A 14567-nucleotide genomic window follows, 5' to 3' on the forward strand; every position below is an offset into this window, starting at 1 on the left:
GGGGTCTGGTTGGTTTCACCTTGGAACTTTTTCACACTGATGATGAGGAGGAACAAGAGTATAGAGTATAGCGAAGTAACAGAAGAGGTTACAGAGCATGTTTATTTACCAGCTAAAGCTAAAGTGGCAAAGGAGGGAGAGGTTCATCCCTACCCTTCTGCACCCCCTCCTTATTATTTTGAAGAAAATGACCCTCCAGATCTTTCTTTTCCAGAGGACACTGGGCAAAAATTAGTTGCCCCAGTGACTGTTCGAGCAGCGCCTTGAGCAACCACTCTTAGTTCTATTCAGGCAGGAATCCAGTAAGCTAGACGAGAGGGTGATTTAGAGGCTTGGCAGTTCCCTGTTAGAATACAGCCCCCAGATCAACAGGGAAATATTATAGCTACATTTGAGCCTTTTCCTTTTAAATTACTCAAAGAATTTAAACAAGCTATAAATCAGTATGGACCACGTTCTCCTTTTTTAATGGAACTGTTAAAGAATGTTGCTGTTTCCAGTCAGATGATTCCTACTGACTGAGACGCTCTTACTTGAGCTTGTCTAACTCTTGCTCAGTTCTTACAATTTAAAACTTGGTGGACAGGTGAAGCTACCATTCAGGCTGCTCACAATGCCCAGGCCCAACCTCAAATTAATATAACTGCAGACCAACTTTTAGGGGTTGGTGGCTGGGCTGGTTTACATGCACAAGTGGTCATGCAGGATGATGCCATAGAGCAGCTTAGAGGAGTATGCATTAGAGCTTGGGAAAAAATCACTTCAGGTGGAGAACAATACCTTTCCTTTAGTGCTATAAAACAGGGACCAAGAGAACCATACATTAATTTTATAGCTCGGTTTCAGGAGTCTCTTCGAAAGATGATCGCAGATTTGGCTGCTCAGGATATAGTGCTGCAGTTATTAGCTTTCGACAATGCTAATCCCAATTGCCAGGCTGCTCTGCGACCTATCAGAGGGAAAGCACATTTAGTTGATTATATCAAGGCCTGTGATGGCATCAGAGGTAATCTGCATAAAGCTACTCTGCTAGCACATGCAATGGCAGGACTGAGAGTGGATAAAGGAAATACTCCATTTCCTGGAGCTTGTTTTAACTGTGGGAAGCATGGTCATACTAAAAAAGAATGTAGAAAAAATCAGCGAGTCAGGCCGTCAGACAGGGGAGAAAAGAAAACTGCTGATCCTGAAATATGTCCAAAATGTAAAAAGTGAAAACATTGGGCTAATCAGTGTCACTCTAAGTTTGATAAAGAAGGGAACCCAATTTCGGGAAACGCCATGAGGGGCCCATCCTGGGCCCCATTCTAAACTGGGGCATTTCCAGCTCAGGCCATTCCCTCACCCCTGTACAATGTCTGTCCCTCTCCACAGCCAGTAGTGCCACAGTAGATTTATGCTGCACAAAAGCTGTGAGCCTTCTACCTGGGGAACCCCTGCAAAAGGTCCCAACAGGAGTCTGTGGACCCTTGCCAGCAGGGACAATAGGATTACTTTTAGGAAGGTCTAGTTTAGGTTTAAAAGGGATACAAATACATACAGGAGTCATTGATTCAAATTACAATGGGGAAATTCAAATTGTTATATCTACTTCTGTTTCCTGGAAAGCAGAGCCGGGAGAGCGCATAGCACAGCTCCTGATCGTGCCATATGTGGGAATGGGAAAAAGTGAAATTAAACGAACAGGAGGATTTGGAAGCACAAATAAACAAGGCAAAGCAGCTTATTGGGTAAATCAAATTACTGATAAACATCCTACCTGTGAAACAACCATTCAGGGAAAGAAATTTAAAGGTTTGGTAGATACAGGAGTGGACATTTCGATCATTTCTCTGCAGCACTGGCTGTCCACGTGGCGAATTCAACCCACTCAATTTAACATAGGTAGAGTTGGTAAAGCCCCTGAAGTATATCCAAGTGGTTATATTTTGCATTGTGAAGGGCCCGATGGACAACCTGGGACTATTCAACCAATTATAACTTCTGTACCTATAAATTTATGGGGAAGAGATTTATTACAACAATGGGGAACACAAGTTATAATTCCAGAACAATTATATAGCCCTTGAAGTCAACATACAATGGATGAAATGGGGTATGTCCCTTGTATGGGACTAGAAAAAAATTTGCAAGGTTTGAAAGAACCACTTCAAGCGGAAAATCAAAGTTCCTGCCAAAGATTAGGAAATAAGTTTTGATGGTTGCCATTGTTAAGCCTCCAGAATCTATACCTTTAAAATGGTTAACAGATAAGCCAATTTGGATAGAACAATGGCTGCTAAGTAAAGAGAAACTGGAGGCTTTAGAGAAATTAGTTACTGAACAATTAGAAAATGGGCACACAGCTCCAACATTTTCCCCTTGGAATTCTCTAGTTTTTGTAATTAAGAAAAAATCAGGTAAATGGAGAATGTTAACTGACTTAAGAGCTATCAATTCAGTTATACAACCTATGGGAGCATTACAGCCAGGATTGCCTTCTTCTGCTATAATTCCAAAAAATTGGCCTTTAATAGTCATAGATTTAAAAGACTGTTTCTTTACTATCCCCTTAGCTGAGCAAGACTGTGAATGGTTTGCATTTACAATTCCTGCAGTAAACAACCTGCAGCCTGCTAAGCGTTTTTATTGGAAAGTGTTGTCACAGGGCATGTTAAACAGTCCCACAATTTGCCAGGCCTATGTGGGGCAAGCAATTGAACCTACTCATAAAAAATTTTCACAGTGTTAAATTATTCACTATATGGATGATATATACTTTGTGCTGCCCCCACTCAGGAAATATTACTCCAATGTTATGATCACTTGCAAAATTCGATTTCTCATGCTGGTTTAATTATAGCTCCTGGCAAAATTCAGACTACTACTCCTTACTCCTACTTGGGGACCTTAGTAAATGACACTACCATTGTGCCACAGAAAGTAACCATACGTAGGGATCAACTGAAAACATTAAATGACTTTCAAAAATTACTAGGGGATATTAATTGGATACGACCTGCTCTAGGCATTCCTACCTATGCCATGAGTAATCTGTTTTCTATCCTTAGAGGAAATCCTAGTCTCACTAGCCCTCGGCAATTAACAAAGGAGGCTGAGGCAGAGTTACAACTGATTGAGAAGCAAGTCCATAAAGCTCAAATAAATAGAATAGATTCAGAGAAGACTCTAGACTTGCTATTTTTTTCAACTCAGTATTCACCTACTAGTGTTTTCGTCCAAGAACAGGACTTAGTAAAGTGACTTTTTCTTCCACATACTAATTCATGGACTCTAACTCCTTATTTAGATCAAATCGCTACTATGATAGGGATTGGGAGAAATTGTATTGTTAAATTACATGGATATAATCCTGGAAAAATTATTATCCCTCTCATGAAGGCACAAATACAGCAAGCTTTTATAATTAGTCTTACTTGGCAAACCCATTTAGCTGACTTTGTGGGTATTGTTGATAATCACTTTCCTAAAAAGAAGCTGTTTCAGTTTTTGAAATTAACTAATTGGATTCTCCCTAAAATAACTAAATTTAAACCAATTGAAGGTGCTGAAAATGTTTTTACAGATGGGTCTACTAATAGCAAAACTTCTTATTCTGGATCAAAAAGTAAAGTGTTCCAGATGCCCTATATTTCAGCTCAAAAAGCAGAGCTTGTAGCAGTAATTGAGGTATTGACTGCTTTTGATATGCCTATTAATGTGATTTCTGATTCTTCATACGTAGTTCACTCCACACAATTAATTGAAAATGCTCAGTTATGATTTCATACAGATGAACAACTGATGACTTTATTTACCCAATTGCAAACAGCAGTTAGGAGTAGAATGCACCTTTTTTATATCACTCACATTAGGGCTCATACACCTCTTCCAGGACCTTTGACTGAAGGGAATCAAATGGCTGATCACCTAGTTGCTAATGCAATATCTAATGCTAGACACTTTCACAATTTAACCCATGTTAATGCCTCTGGTCTCAAACACAGATACAGCATTACCTGGAAAGAAGCTAAAAATATTATCCAGCGATGCCCAACTTGCCAAATGGTACATTCCTCATCTTTTAGAGGAGGAGTTAATCCTCGAGGACTGGAACCTAATTCACTTTGGCAAATGGATGTCACACATATTCCCTTGTTTGGGAGACTAGCTTATGTACATGTATGTGTGGACACCTTTTCTCACTTTGTCTGAGCTACATGCCAGCCAGGAGAGTCTTCTGCCTGTGTTAAATGTCATCTTTTGCAGTGTTTTGCGGTGATGGGCATTCCAGCTTCTACTAAAACAGATAATACCCCAGGCCATACTAGCCAAGCTCTAGCTACATTTTTCTCTATGTGGAATATTAAACACATTACTGGTATCCCATACAATTCTCAAGGACAAGCCATAGTGGAAAGAATGAATCTCTCCCTAAAACAGAAGTTGCAAAAGCAGAAAGGGGAAGACAGACAATATGGAACCCCCACAGATGCAACTGAACCTAGCATTATTAATTTTAAATTTTTTGAGCCTGCCCAAAGGCCAGATGTCATCAGCAACTGAACAGCATCTACAGAAACCAGCTGCAAAGACAGAAGCAGAACAACTGATTTGGTGGAGAGATCTGATAACAAAAAGTTGGGAAATAGGTAAAATAATAACTTGGGGTACAGGCCAAAATCAACAGCAAATTTGGATACCATCAAGACACTCAAAACCTTATCATGAGCCAGATGCTGAGGAAGAGATTTCGGGAGGATCCCAAGGACCCCCCAGTTGCAGCCATGTCAAGGCTGACGCTGAGGAGGACCCCAACTGTCAATGAGTAACTCCCGTTGAACACAGTCACCCACCTGGGGACAGATCAAGAAGCTGTCACAGATGGCGGAAGAAAACTTGAGGAAAGCGGGACAACCAGTCACAATGAATAATTTAATGGTAGCTATGATAGTGGTTATCACCACTGTCATGAGTATTCCTTCAATAAGGGGTGACACAGAGAACAATTATACTTACTGGGTCTATTTATCAATCTTGGCTGGCAATAATGCCTGGATGCAATCACTTTATGACACAGTTACACATGCTTTCTGATCTCAGTATTTACCATAATCAATCTGCTCCTATAATTGAGGCATACTGCCCTCAAAAACCTATTTGTAAACAGGATTGGACCCAGTTAGAAAAAATGAACATACTTGTTTAGGAAGATTGCATTGCAGAACAGGCAGAGGTGTTGCACAACGATTCCTATGGAATCATTAGTAGTTGGTCCCCTAAGGGGATGTTTAGCTCAAATTGCACCTCTCAGTCTGTGTGCCATGGCCACACTATGTTCAGCTGGTCTGAACAAAACGGTCAGATGGTAGATATAATAATAAGTATAGCAAGAGTTCCTATTATCTGGAACCATGGCAGTATAGTGGCACCTCAACCTCAAAAGATATGGCCCACTCTAGGAGCTTAGCGTAAGGATTTAAAATTAAAAGAACAAATATTTAAAGCATCCCAGGCACACCTGACCTTAATGCCAGGAACTGGTGTGCTTCAAGGAGCTGAAAATTGATAAAAACACTTGGAAGCTCTGTGATTTCAATGATGATTGTGCTTTTAATCTGTGTTGTTTGTCTTTGTATAGTCTGCAGATGTGGATCCTGACTCCTGCAAGAAGTAGCTCACTGTGACAAAGCTGCCTTTGAGTTTATTGATTTGCACATCAGAGAAGGGGGACATGTTAGTAGCAGGCCCCTCAAAATCTGGCCATAAACTGGCCCCAAAACTGGCCATAAACAAAATATCTGCAGCACTGTAACATGTTCATAATGGCCCTAACACCCACCCTGGAAGGTTGTGGGTTTGTGGGAATGACGGCAAGGAACACCTGGCCCACCCAGGGCGGACCACTTAAAGGTATTCTTAAGCCTCAAACAACAGCATGAGCGATCTGTGCCTTAAGGACATGCTCCTGCTGCAGTTAACTAGTCCAACCTATTATTTTAATTTGGCCCATCCCTTTGTTTCCCATAAGGGATACTTTTAGTTAATTTAATATCTATAGAAACAATGCTAATGACTGGTTTGCTGTTAATAAATATGTGGGTAAATCTCTGTTCTGGGCTTTCAGCTCTGAAGGCTGTGAGACCCCTGATTTCCCACTTCACACCTCTGTATTTCTGTGTGTGTGTCTTTAATTCTTCTAGCGCCACTGGGTTAGGGTCTCCCTGACTGAGCTGGTCTCAGCAGTGACAAACAATCTTAACCAAAAAGGGTTGAAAGATCCCTCTACCCAAAAGTTTCTGTCTCCCAGTCTACCACAGACAACTGACATGGCACCCTAAGTATCCCACTTAAGGATGAAATATTGTCTCCTGAGAGCACAGGCCTTCCCTTTCTTTATACCAAATACCTATTCATCCTTCCTCGTTCAGCTTCAGTGATGGGCCTTTTCCAGGAAACTTGCTCTGTCCCCGATACTGTTTGTCCTCCTTCCTCCATCTCTGTTTCCAGCAGGGAGCTGACCATGAGGCTCTGTAAGCATTCATTTTCTCCAGCCACTGTCAGCCCCTGGAGGGCAGGAGGCTTATCTTTTTGGTTTTGCATCCCCAGCACGCAGCATAATACCTTGTACTCAAAAGACGAATGAATGTGTATGAGACAGTGGAAAGGCCACTAAACTTGGAGTTAAGTGCCCATGCTAAACAGGCTCCTTGCCTGGTGCTATGGTTTGAGTGATCTCCTCCAAAATTCATGTGTTGAAACGTAATGGTTCTTGTGATAGTATTGAGAGGTGTGGCATTTAAGACGTGATTATTTTTTGTGAATGGGATTAAAGCCCTGAGGCTCCATGTAGCACTCAGTCCTTTTTTGTTCTTCTCTCTTCCACTATGTGAGGGGACAGCATTCATCCCCTCTGTAGGATACTGCCCCAAGGTGCCTTCTTGGAAGCAGAGGAACTGAGACCTCATCAGCTGCCACCTTGATCTTTGAATTCCTAGCCTCAAGAACAGTGAGAAATAAATTCTGATTTTTTATAAGTTACCCAGTCTGTGGCATTTTGTCATAACAGCTCAAATGGATTAAGATAGCTGGTGATCATGGAACTCTTGAATCTTGGCTTCCTTATCTGACAAGTAAGAAAAATAGTCTCCCCTGTCCTTCCTGCCCTTCCCAGGTTTTCCATGGGATGCAAGTGAGATAAGGGATTTGAAAAATCATTTAGCCAGAACAGAGCTCTGAAGGAAGGAAATCTGAGGACACACTGGTCCAGCTCACTCGTTTTACAGATGACAAAACCGAGAGAATGCGTGTGGTGGCACATGCCTATAGTCTTATCTACTTGGAAGGCTGAAATGGGAAGATCCCTTGAGTCCAGAAGTTCAAATCCAACCTGGGTAACATAGTAAGACCCTGTCTTTGAAGAAAAAAACAAAGATCCTCAGATCATGTGTGTGTGTGTGTGTGTGTGTGTGTGTGTGTGTGTGTGTAGAGACAAGGTCTCCCTATGTTGCACAGACTGGTCTCAAACTGCCGACCTCAAGTGATCCTCCCACCTTGGCCTCCCAAAATGCTGAAATTATAGGCATCAGCCACTGAGCCCACCCCTCAGGTGCTTTGTTTTTTAAATCAAAATTTATTATCCCTTTGTAAACCAAAAAAAAAAAAAAATTCCAAGACCCCCCAGCCACTTGAATGGACTTCCTACTCAGCCAGGGCTCTTTTAAAATTTACCCTGAGAGATTGTTTCAGGCCATGATGGGAAGTAGTGGTTGGACATGGCTCATTATACCTCTCCAGCATTAACATCAACACAGACTTTAAGTCACATAAGAAACATTTTACAACCTATTCTCTCTGAAGCCGACTACCTGCAGGCTTCCTCTGCCAATAAGAAATTTGGCCTCCACAACCTGTTATCTTAATCCAAACATTATTTTCTATTGATCCCAGGTCTTTAGATAAACTCAACCAACTGCCAACCAGAAAATTTTAAAATCTACTTATAAGCTGGAAACCCCTGCTTCAAGTTGTCCTACCTTTCAGGACCAAACCAATGTATTTCTTTTTTTTTTTTTTTTTTTTTTTTGAGACAGAGTCTCACGTTGTTGCCCAGGCTGGAGTGTGCAGTGGCGCAATCTCGGCTCACTGCAACCTCCACCTCCTGGGTTCAAGCGATTGTTGTGCTTCAGCCTGAGGAGCCAGGATTACAGGCACACACCACCACACCCAGCTAATTTTTGTATTTTTAGTAGAGAGGGTTTCACCATTTGGCCAGGCTGGCCTCGAACTCCTGACCTCAGGTAATCCACCCACCTCAGCCTCCCAAAGTTCTGGGATTACAGGCATGAACCACAGCACCTGGCCTCCAATGTATTTCTTAAATGAATTTGATTGAAGTCTCATGTCTCCTTAAAATATATAAAACCAAGCTGCAGCCTAATCATCTCAGGCACATGTTCTCAGGACCTCCTGAGGGCTCCTTCATAGGCTATGGTCACTCAAAGTTGGCTCAAAATAAATCTCTTAAAATATTTTACAGAATTTGACTCTTCATCAACCACTTGTCCCATTTCTGTAGGAGCCTGCTGTTAGAATCTGACCTGCAAGTAGGAATCTGATAAATTCATTTTTTCAGGAGTTAATAATAGTTGTTGACAGTGTAAGAGTGATATGGACAGGAGACAGAGAAATACTGGGTAGAAGAGGGTGGTTCCCCAGCAAAGGCCCCATCCTCAAGCCTGGATACTCATGGCCCTAAATGGGAACAGGCATTCCTGTTTTCATGCCCCAAAAGTTGTCTTTTGACCCCCCTATCCTGTACCCATATAAACCACAGACCTCAGGTTCCAGAAGCAGATGAGCAGACAAGGAGATGAGAAGATGAACAGAAGAGCAGAAGAACAGCAGAATGATGTGGCAGAGAAGAGAAAGAGCATCTAAACTCCAAGGGAAGATCATCTTCCCACACCATCTCCCTTCTAGCTCCCCATCCATCCCACTGAGATCCACCTCTACCACCCGATAAAACCCCCACATTCACTACCCTTCAAGTCCATGTGTGACCTGATTCTTCTGGGATGTTAGACAGGAGCTTGGGATACAGTAAGCTGTCACACTGGCCCTCTGCCCTTGCAAAAAGGCAGAGGATCCACTGAGCTGGTTAACACTTACACCATCTGTGGACATCAAAGCTAAAAGAGTGCACTGTAACACATGCCATGCCCACTTGGGTTTTGGGAGTCACAGGCACCCACTCCAGATGCTGCTATGGGGCTGGAGCCTCAAAGCACTCGCCCCAGCTCCTGTGCCTGCCCTGCTGTGTGCTCCCACTCCTGTTAGGGGTTTGAGTGTGTGGTGACCAAACACATGAGCCATACCCCTGTTGCATGTCCTTTAAGGGTGGTCAGGGAACTCTCCCATTTCAAGAGCACTTCTCCTAGAAATATTTGCAATTTACTTAAGAGATACTACACAGTAGTGGGATTTCTTCTAAGTTTTCTTTCATATTTCTTTGAGCAGATTAATAGATGAGTACTTTTGGATGGGACAGTTTCCAAGTCTTTCTCAATTTGCATGATATACATGGTTGCCTCTCTATATACCATATCTTGCATTGAATATTGGAGAAAAATTGCATTAATGTGTGAGGAAATATCATTGACCTCCCACAAGTGGCCCCCATGCCCCTAAATCTAAAGGATTCCCCTTTAGATATTGAAAACTAGAATACTCAGACATTCTGAAGTCATGAAAGCAGTAAACATCTTCAAAGAGATGAGAAAGTAATCACAGCATATTGGAAAAAACCTTCAAACAGAAGTAAGGAAACCTGAGGTCCATCTCTGACCATGGCAAATTATGTGAACTTGGGTAACTCAGTCTTTCTGAGCATCCCCCCAACTCTCAGTATTACTCAGTATTAATACTTCTGTGTTTGTGTGTGTGTGTGTGTGTGTTTGTATACATAGGTCAAAATTCAAAAGGTACTGTTGTCAGAGGCATTCAAACCAGAGCAACTCCATCTCAAATAAAGGCTGGTTAAAATAAGGCTGAGACCTACTGGGCTGCATTCCCAGGAGGTTAGTCATTCTTAGTCACAGGATGAGATAGAAGGTCTGCACAAGGTACAGGTCATAAAGACCTTGCTGAAAAAATAATGTGGTAAAGCCAACTACATCCCACCAAAACCAAGATGGTGATGAAAGTGACCTCTAGTTGTCCTCACTGCTCATTATACACTAATTATAATGTATTAGCAAGCTAAAAGACACTCCCACTAGTGCCATAACAGTTTATAAATGCCATAGCAACATGAGGAAGTTGCCCTATATGGTCCAAAATGGGGAAGAACCCTCAGTTCCAGGAATTGCCACTCCTTTCCCCGGAAAACTCATGAATAATTCATTCCTTGTTTATCATATAATCAAGAAATAACCATAAAAATGGGCAACCAGCAGCCCCAAGGGTTGTTCTGCCTATGGAGTAGCCATTCTTTTATTCCTTTACTTTCTTAATAAACTTACTTTTACTTCACTGTATGGATTCACCTTGAATTCTTTCTTTCATGAGATTCAAGAACCCTCCCTTTGGGTGTAGATCAGGACCCCTTTTCCTTAACACTGTGGTAAAATATAATAGAAAATATATACTGAGTCTTTGTCCCTGGTTCATGACACAGAGCTCCTAAAACACTTGGAGTTTTCCTCTGTGATAGGGAAAATTGGAGCATCTTTTACTGTTCATAACAAGCCCCTTTCAACTGTACCTGAGTTTATGCTAATAAAGTGACTCCTGGAGGACCTCTGGATAGCTTGAGGATAGGGGCCCTTCTCCTGAAAGACCAAGTCTTGATTAGATGATTGGAACCTTCACTCTCCAACCTCTAGAAAGGGAAAAGGGGCTGGAAATTGAATCGGATCACCATTGGCCAGTGATTTAATCAATCATGCCTATGTAAGAAACTCCATAAAAACCCCTTAACAACAGGGTTTGGAGAGCTCCTGGGCTGGTGAACACATCCAACCCACGCTGGGAGGGTGGCTGGCTCCAACTCCACAGGACAGAAGCCTCTGCTCTTGGGACCCTGCTGGGTCCTACCCTCTGTACCTCTTCCTCTGGCTGTTCACTTGTGTCCTTTATAAAAAACTGGTAAACATAAGTAAAATGATTTCTTGAGTTCTGGGGGACATTCTAGCAAAATACTCAAAATGAGGAGGGATTCATGGGAATCACCAATCTATAGCTAGTCAGAAGTATGGGGCCAGGCGCAGTGGCTCATGCCAGCACTTTGGGAGGCTGAGATGGGCGGATCATGAGGTCAGGAGTTCAAGACCAGCCTGGCTAATATGGTGAAACCCTGTCTCTACTAAAAATGCAAAAATTAGCTGGGCATGGTGGTGCATGCTTGTAATCCCAGCTACTCGAGAGTCTGAGGCAGACAAATCGCTTGAACCCGGGAGGCGGAGGTTGCAGTGAGCTGAGATCGTGCCACTGCACTCCAGCCTGGGCGACAGAGAGAGACTCCATCTCAAAAAAAAAAAGTATGAGTGGCCCATGACTTAAGACCAGCATCTGAAGTTGAGGCGGTTTTGTGGGGCTGAGCTCTTTAACTTATGGAATCTGACAGTAACCCTAAGTATATATGAGGTAGAATAGGAATGGGATGTGGCTCCTCCTACATAATGTTTAACTATGCCTTTTACTTAAAGAATTCTAGGAATTGCCCTTAGGAAATCTACACATCAAACCAAGGTTGTGGAGTGTCCCACCTGGGAAGGAATGCTGAACAATGGATTACAGCCTTGTTGCTGCTGGCCAGACCACCAGGTGGTCCATTACACAAGATAACCATCCTAAGCAGATAATGCTGACCTGCATACCCTACCCTTCAACCTGCATAATCTACCCCAGTGTCTCTCTCTCTCTCTCTCTCATGCTGCCTTCCTGTCTGGGCATAAGCTCCAATGAAGTCTTATCTGGAAAAACTCTTTCAGCCTCATGTTACTTTCTATGGAGAGTCCAAGAACATGTGGTCAGTGACACAGTGGGTCAGAATTGAATTGAATTGTTGGACACTCGGTTGATATCAGATAGAGAATTACAGAGGTACAAAGAGCAAACAATGAAAAATCACCTTTCCAATTCTATTCTCCTACATCTTGCTTTCTTCCCTGGGCCCAGCAGCAACTACTATGATCAAATAACTTGGTACTGTGGACTGAATTGTGTCCTCCTCAAATTAATATGTTGAAGCCCTAATTCACAGTGTGATGGTGTTTGGAGATGAAGGCTTTGGGTGGTAATTAGGTTTGGATGAGCTGATGAGGGTGAGACCCTCATGATGGGATTAGTACCTTTGGAAGAAGGGATACTGGGCCGAGTGCAGTGGCTCACGCCTGTAATCCTAGCACTTTAGGAGGCGGAGGCAGGCAGATCACCTGAAGTCAGGAGTTCCAGACTAGCCGGGCCAACATGGTGAAACTTGGTCTCTAATAAAAATACCAAAAGAATAGCCGGGTGTGGTGGCACACGCCTGTAATCCCAGCTTACTCAGGAGGCTGAGGAACGAGAATTGCTTGAACCCGGGAGACGGAGGTTGCAGTGAGCCAAGATTGCGCCACTGCACTCCAGCCTGAGTGACAGAGCAAGACTCCATCTCAGAAAAGAAGAAGAATAAGAGGAGGAGGAGGAGGAGAAGGAGAAGGAGAAGGAGAAGGAGAAGGAGAAGAAGAAGAAGAAGAAGAAGAAGAAGAAGAAGAAGAAGAAGAAGAAGAAGAAGAAGAAGAAGAAGAACAAGAACAAGAACAAGAAGAACAAGAACAAGAAGAACAAGAACAAGAAGAACAAGAACAAGAAGAAAGAAGAAGAAAAGACACTGAAGAGCTTTCATACTCTCTCCCCCTCAACAGAACCCAACCATGCTGGCACCCTGATTTTGGACTTCCAGCCACCAGAACTGTGAGAAGATAAATTTTTGTTGTTTACACCACTTAGACTATGGTATTTTGTTATGGCAGCCCCAGCTAACTAAAGTATTTGGATATCCTTTCAGAAATATTTTATGCATAAATAAGCAAAAAAATCAATATATTTATTTCCTTCTTTGTTTTACACAAATGGTTCTGCAACTCACTCTACTCTCTTAGAGGACAGTTCAAACCACTATATTTCTCTTTCTGAATAGTTGCACAATATTTTTCCATTATTTAAAAAAAGAAACAGTAACCAAAAACATTGTAACCAAACTTCTATTGTTGAACATTTGGATTGTTTCCAGTCTTTCACAATTACAAATAAAGCTACCATGAATAATTTTGCCATAATAATATGTGCTATTTGCACATGTGAGAGCTATTGTTGGCTAAATTCCCAGAAGTGAATTGCTGGGTGAAAGTATATTTATATCTATAATCTTGATGGATATTGCAAAATTACTCTTCATAATCATTGTGCCAATTTACACTCCATTCAGTATGTTGTAATACTGTTTATTTTTCTCTCACTTTCACCTACACAGCATGTTAGCAAACTTTTGAGATTTGCCAAATTGGCATGTAAAATGTTACTACTTTATAGTTTGTATTTTCTCATACTTTCTTATGTATGTAATTGAGCATCTTTACATATGCTTAAGACCCTATTGTGCTTTTCTTCTACAGTTCACATCTCTTTTTTTTTTTTTTCATTTTTCTGTTGGTTGTTGGTATTGTTCACTGTTTGTAGGAGTTTTTTATATAAGGAATATAAAACCTTTATATATGATGGAAATTGTATACTTCCCCCCAGTCTGTTGTTTGAATTTTCACTTTCCTTATGGTTGTTTTTGTCATATTGAATTATTTTATTATTATATAGTCCAATTGATCAAATTTTTCTTTTCTTTTCTTCTGGGTTTCATATTATGCTCAGAAATTTCTTCCCCATTTCATGATGAAAACATTCCATATTTTCTTCTACTTCTCTTTACTTCCTGTATTTAAATATTGGACCCATCTGAAATGTATTTTGGTATAAGATGTAAAATATGAATTCAACTTATTTCCAGAGAGTATCTGGTTTTTCTCACTTCCATTAACTAAGTAATCCACTTTTTCCTTCTGTATTTGAAATGCACCGTTATCATATTGCAAAACAACAGTATATATCATAAACGATGTCTGATATGCATTTCAGGATTTTATACCCTGTTCTGTCAAGCTGCCTATAATATGTCAGCACTGTGCTACATAAATTATTCTGGTTTTATATAATAATATGCTTTAATACTTGAGAGGCACCTTAATTGGTCTCAAAAAAAAAAAAAAAACTCCTTACAGAGTTTTTACTGAGATTGCATTAAAATAAAGACAGTTGACATGATTATGATGAGTCTTTCTACTCAAAAGCAGAACCTTCCAATTGTTCACATTCTCTCCTGTATTTCTCAGTAGGGTTTAAATGTTTTTGAACTGGAACTTCTATATTTCTCTTAAGCTTAATCTACTTTTTCAGCTACAATGTAAGTAGGATCCTCTATTCCATCTACTCACTGATTATTGTTTTTGTATTTAAAAGGCTATTTCTGGGCCAGGTGTGGTGGTTCACACCTG

The 14567-nt window shown here is 41.3% G+C and overlaps 1 annotated feature.

The window, feature by feature from the left end:
• Positions 11412 to 12125: an enhancer, noted in NCBI's record as "OCT4-NANOG-H3K27ac hESC enhancer chr6:110832459-110833172 (GRCh37/hg19 assembly coordinates)". NCBI's record gives its function as "activates a minimal SCP1, AML or CMV promoter by ChIP-STARR-seq in naive H9 embryonic stem cells {active_cell/tissue: H9 hESC(naive)}" and the evidence as "EXISTENCE:reporter gene assay evidence [ECO:0000049][PMID:30033119]".

This window comes from Homo sapiens, chromosome 6 (assembly GCF_000001405.40).
Source record: "Homo sapiens chromosome 6, GRCh38.p14 Primary Assembly".
Lineage (NCBI taxonomy): Eukaryota > Metazoa > Chordata > Mammalia > Primates > Hominidae > Homo > Homo sapiens.